Here is a 6,183-nt window from a genome sequence, read left to right on the forward strand (position 1 = left end):
CTTAGCAGTCAGCAAACTGTTTTTGTAAGGGCCCAGATAGTAAATAGTCAGTATTTTAGGCTTTATAGGCCAAATACTGTCTTTGTCACATTTTCTTCTTTGTTTTTGGTTGTTTGTTTTTGAGATGGAGTCTCGCTCTGTCGCCCAGGCTGGAGTACAGTGGTGCCATCTCAGCTCACTGCAAGCTCCACCTCCTGGGTTCACGCCATTCTCCTGCCTCAGCCTCCCGAGTAGCTGGGACTACAGGTGCCCGCCACCACGCCCTGCTAATTTTTTGTATTTTTAGTAGAGACGGCATTTCACCGTGTTAGCCAGTATGGTCTCGATCTCCTGACCTCGTGATCCGCCCACCTCGGCCTCCCAAAGTGCTGAGATTACAAGTGTGGGCCACCGCGCCTGGTGTTTTTTTGTTTGTTTTTTGTTTTTTGTTTTTTTAACTATGGTATAGCTGGGCATGGTGGTTGGTGCCTGTAGTCCCACCTACTTGGGAGGCTGAGATGGGAGGATTGTTTGAGCACAGGAATTTTAAGCTGCAGTGAGCAATGATCACACCACTGTACTCTAGCCTGGTCAACAAAGTGAGACCCTGATTCTAAAACAAACAAAAACCAAAAAAAGCCAGGCTGGATGCAGTGGCTCACACCTGTAATCTCAGCACTTTGGGAGGCTGAGGTGGGCGGATCACTAGGTCAAGAGATCGAGACCATCCTGGTCGACATGGTGAAACTCTGTCTCTACTAAAAATATAAAAATTAGCTGGGCATGGGGTCGCATGCCTGTAGTCCCAGCTACTCGGGAGGTTGAGGCAGGAGAATCGCTTGAACCCAGGAGACGGAGGTTGCAGTGAGCTGAGATTGTGTCAACTGCACTCCAGCCTGGTGACAGAGCAAGACTCTGTCTCGGAAAAAAAAAAAAAAAAACAGACCATACCATGGCTAGATTTGGCCTGTGGGCATAGTTGGCTGACCCATCTGCTAGATGAATAGATACAAGATCCAGATTTGGTAAAATGTAAACACTTTAATCCAGGACAAAGCAGTCTTCATGCACATGAGACAGTACTATAATGCCTCTGTTAGACTCCTAGCTCTGCCACAGACTGGCTATACAATCCTGGACAAGTTACTTAACCTCTCCAGCCCTCAGTTAGCTTGTCAGTGAAACTAGAATGATAATTGAAGCTCCCTTATAGAGTTACTATGAAGATTAAATGAGATAGTGCACAGAAAGCTCTTGGTACGGTGTCAGGCACATGGGAAGATCACAGTAAATGTTAGCCTCTACATGGATCAGGAATGAAGGAATCCCGAGGAAGACACCATCAAGGTTGAAGCTGCTGGAACTCCAAGATGAGGTTACATTCAAATGTGTTTTCTCAACCAGGAAAGCCTCTGGAAGCATGGGGGCTGTTAAGAGCAGATTGCACATTGCTTGGTCCCCTTGCCCTGGGCTCCCGGGTAGGCAGCCAGAAACCCCTGAGCAAACTGGTATTAGCTCAACTGTTTGAACCCTGACAATTCAGCCCGCTGCTCCCCCTGCCCCTTGGCCTGGAGCTTCCATGCAGGGAGAGGCTGCCACCCACCAGATAGCGTTCCCACCAGGCAGAAGTCAGGGTGGCCAGATGGTCAGGAGGGGCAGATGACAGGGGAAGCCACAAGAAAGAGAGCCTGTGGCTAGATCAGAGGTGCTGAAGCCAGCCCCAGAGCAGGACAGTCACCTGCTGTCCACAAACATCCTGCTGAGGGAAGTTCTTCTTTGCCCCGATGGGTGTGATAGTTGGCAACGTGGCTAGAAACAGACTGACAGCTGTGCTCACCCTGGCTCCTTGGCAGACATTGGAGAAATCAAGGATAGAGATGAGGATTCTGATACTCTCCCCTCAACACTGGAAATGAAAGGAAGCCTCCCAGCCCCCAAGTCCTCCCCAGTCTGTCAGCAGCATTTATGGAAGGCCCACTGTGTGCAAAGCCTGTACAATCAGGAGGGAGTTAAATGGGAAATTGAGGACCAGGCTCCACATGCCCATGGAGGGCTCGTGTGGAGCCTAAACATGAGACTGGCTCTCGAACACTTGCCAGGCGAACAGGATGGAGCCTGGATGTCCCAGCCAGCTCCACCACTGGCAGCAACTCCTTACAGGGTCACTAGGCCCTGACTGAAAGGGCACCAGCTGGCCGGGTAGTGGGTGGGTATACATTTGGTTTTAGAGAAAAACAACCACAGATCCAATTTCAAGGCTTTGAGTCTCACCAACCCCTCCTTCCAGTCTTTTCTGAATAGCGGCATTAACTGGGACCCCGAAGAAGGGAGGTGGGAAGCAGACACCCAGCAGGGCTCTGCAGGAATCTCCCTGAGCCCCACACCCAGGTCCTGCTGTCTGCACAAGGGGCAATCATGACTTTCTTCTGTGGCAGGGAGACAGTGGAATCTGTAGGAGGTTCCAGACCCAGCGACGACCAAGCCTGGGTGGTTCTGACACCAAGAACAAAACGCCTGCAAGATCCACACTGGGAACTCAACCAAGAAGAAAGAAAAGAACAAACAAGATCAATTTCTTCCCCACAGGAGCCAGAATTTTCCTAAGTCTCTACGAATGTTCAGAGACATCTTTATCTCTTGCAGGAACTCTACCTCCTCTCCTGTCTCACCTCCTCCTGAAAAAAGAGACAAAGTCCCACTCCCATCAAAACACCTCTGAGGTGTCAGCTTCAAATGATTTATGAATTACTTCTCCCAGCCTGGGTTAGCTTCAAAACTGGGAATGGGTCAGGGTGTCAGCATGGGAAGAACCTTTAAGAATGTCAGGCTTTTAGAGCCTCAAAGCCACAAATCTCTCAAATGGTGCCCTCTCCAACCCTGGGCACTAGGTCCGATGAGCAGGGGATGGAGGCATATTTGGACAGGGGCCTGCATCTGAGACCAGCCCCTGATACCAAACCAAATGTGTCTCTTGTATTTTTAACTGCAAGCTCCCACCACCCTGAGTGAGTTTTTCCCAAAGCAGTGGTGTCACAAGCAGCCATTCAGTTGGCCTTTGCAGTCATGCTGACCCAGGGGTACTTGGTCTTCATCGGATTCTCAGTCTAAGCATCAATCCTCTGACAGAGGGACCTACCCCAGGCACTTCCAGCTCAGCAGAAAGCACCCTGAGCTAATAAAGGAAGATATAATTTAGAGGTCATGCCCCAAAGCCAGCTATTTCTGACTGCAGATCCAGCTCCAACTAAAGCCAAGCCAAAAATTAACATTATTTTGCATTTTAAACAACTTACTAGTCTTTCAAAGGGTACTGATTGGTGAACAGCAATTTACAATGAAGTAATCAGTTGCAAACTACCAATAATTGCTATCACTTCAAGTGTGAGTTTTTCCCCTCCCCATTTTCTTCCCCCTGTTCTGTCTCTGTTTTTAAACCAACAAATATTTATCAACCTTCTTTTAGACAAGGTGTGAGCTAGGAGCCATGAGAGATAAAAAGATGCGGCTGCCAAGTATTTGCATGTGAGATATTCATAGTCTGGCTAGGGTAGTAACATGGTACACATGGGGAAAATAACCAAATGTCAAAAGACTGATAGGTGATGAATGTTGACTCTGTAAAAGTGAAAGTTACATAGAATGTTCAGGGAGCTTGATTTTAAGTTGCCTGAGGGTTGTAAACTACTTTCCAGTAAGGTGTTTTCCTCTACCAGTGCTTCCCAAACATAAAAGTCTATAAAATGATTTTTTTTTTTTTTTTTGAGACAGAGTTTCACTCTTGTCGCCCAGGCTAGAGTGCAATGGCACGATCTCAGCTCACTGCAACCTCTGCCTCCTGGGTTCAAGCGATTCTCTTGCCTCAGCCTCCCGAAATAGCTGGGATTACAGGCACCTGCCACCATACCCAGCTAATTTTTTTGTATTTTTAGTAGAGACGGGGTTTCACCATATTGGCCAGGCTGGTCTCGAACTCCTGACCCTGTGATCCGCCCACCTTGGCCTCCCAAAGTGCTGGGATTACAGGCGAGAGCCACTGCACCCAGCAGTTTTTTTTGTTTGTTTGTTTTTATTTTTGTTTTTTGAGACAGGGTCTCGTTCTGTTGCTCAGGTTGAAGTGCAGTGGCACAATCTTGGCTCACTGCAACCTCCATCTTCTGGGTTCAAGTGATCCTCCAACCGCAGCTTCTTGAGTAGCTGGCAATATAGGCACTCGCCACCACACCCAGCTAATTTTTGTATTTTTTGTAGAGACGGGGTTTCACCATGTTGCCCAGGCTGGCCTTGACCTTCTGGGCTCAAGTGATCCTCCTGCCTCAGCCTTCTGAAGTGCTGGGATTACAGACATGAGACACTGCACTCATCTATAAAATGTTGATACGAGTTCTATGAAAAAAATGTTCTGGCCAGGTGAGGTGGTTCATGCCTGTATTTCCAGCACTTTGGGAGGCCAAAGCAGGATAGTGGCTGGAGCCCAGGAGTTGAATCCAGGAGATCAGCCTGGGCAACACAGTAAGACTCTCTCTACAAAAATGTAAAAAACTAGCCAGGTATGGCGGTACACACAGGTGGTCCCAGCTACTTGGGAGGCTGAGATGAGACGATCACTTGAGCCCAGCAATTTGAGGCTTGCAGTGAGCCATGTTTGTGCCACTACACTCCACTGTACTCCAGCCAGAGTAAAAAAAAAAAAAAAAAAAAGACAGATTTCTTTTCTTTCCTTTTTTTTTTTTTTTTTTTGAGGCGAGTCTCACTCTGTCACCCAGGCTGGAGTGAAATGGCGCGATCTCGGCTCATTGCAGGCTCCGCCTCCCTGTTCACGCCAGTCTCCTGCCTCAGCCTCCCAAGTAGCTGGAACTACAGGCGCCTGCCACCACGCCCTGCTGCTTTTTTGTATTTTTAGTAGAGGCGGGGTTTCACCGTGTTAGCCAGGATGGTCTCGATCTCCTGACCTCATGATCTGCCCACCTTGGCCTTCCAAAGTGCTGGGATTACAGGTGTGAGCCACCGCACCCGGCCAAGAAAAGCAGATTTCTTTATCACACAATGTTGCAGAGCCTCCAAGAGCCAAAGTGCATTGTGAATCTGCACAAGACTATGAATGTATGCAGCAGATTCCAGATTTAACCATGAAATAGCCCCTCCTCCATGCCCTTTTTCTCATAAGCAATACAAATTAGCATCTTTCTAGAATTGTAGTCCCAGAGAGTCTAAATAGTCTGCTTAGATGGCAAAAAAAAAAAAAGGGTGCTCAAGCCTCACTTTCTCCAACATTTTCCCCAAAAGTCCAGCCCATAGTGGATCTCTTTTCCTTAGATTTTCAAAAGAACTTTGGTATCGTCAATTTAGCACCCAACTCCCGTCTGTCTTCTGCTTGTTTATATAGTTCCATGTCACTCATACCACCCCAGCTTGGTGCAGAACATATAGCAAGTGCTCACTAACGACAAATTACATAGTTATTAAATATGCTTTTTAAAATATTTATTTATTTATTTATTTTGAGACGGAGTCTAGCTCTGTCACCCAGGCTGGAGTACAGTGGCATGATTTTGGCTCACTGCCACCTCCACCTCCCAGGTTCAAGTGATTCTCCTGCTTTAGCCTCCTTAGTAGCTGAGATTACAGGCGCGCACTACCATGCCCGGCTAATTTTTGTATTTTAGTAGAGAGAGGGTTTCACCATGTTGGTCAGGCTGGTCTTGAACTCCTGACCTCAGGTGATCTGCCCTCCTTAGCCTCCCAAAGTACTGGGATTACAGGCATGAGCCACCACATGGGGCCTAAATATGGTTCTTATCTGCTTCTTTTTTTTTCTTTTTTTGAGATGGAGTCTTGCTCTGTCTCCCAGGCTGGAGTGCAGTGGCGTAATCTCGGCTCACTGCAAGCTCTGCCTCCTGGGTTCGCGCCATTCTCCTGCCTCAGCCTCCCGAGTAGCTGGGAGTACAGGCACCTGCCACCGCGCCTGGCTTTTTTTTTTTTTTTTTTTTTTTTTTTTTTTTGTATTTTTAGTAGAGACAGGGTTTCACCACTTTAGCCAGGATGGTCTCAATCTCCTGACCTCGTGATCCCAAAGTGCTGGGATTACAGGCGTGAGCCAACGCGCCCGGCTTATCTGCTTCTTATCTCGGGTAAGAGCAGAGCCTGGACTCTGGAGCCCGGAGTGCAGATACTGGCTCTGGCTTATCAACTGTGCAACTTTGGGAA

At 47.9% G+C, this 6,183-nt stretch overlaps 1 annotated feature.

Annotated features, from left to right (window-relative positions):
* Positions 1,584 to 2,083: an enhancer, noted in NCBI's record as "H3K4me1 hESC enhancer chr1:225938191-225938690 (GRCh37/hg19 assembly coordinates)". NCBI's record gives its function as "activates a minimal SCP1, AML or CMV promoter by ChIP-STARR-seq in primed H9 embryonic stem cells {active_cell/tissue: H9 hESC(primed)}" and the evidence as "EXISTENCE:reporter gene assay evidence [ECO:0000049][PMID:30033119]".

The sequence above is a fragment of the Homo sapiens genome, chromosome 1 (assembly GCF_000001405.40).
Source record: "Homo sapiens chromosome 1, GRCh38.p14 Primary Assembly".
Lineage (NCBI taxonomy): Eukaryota > Metazoa > Chordata > Mammalia > Primates > Hominidae > Homo > Homo sapiens.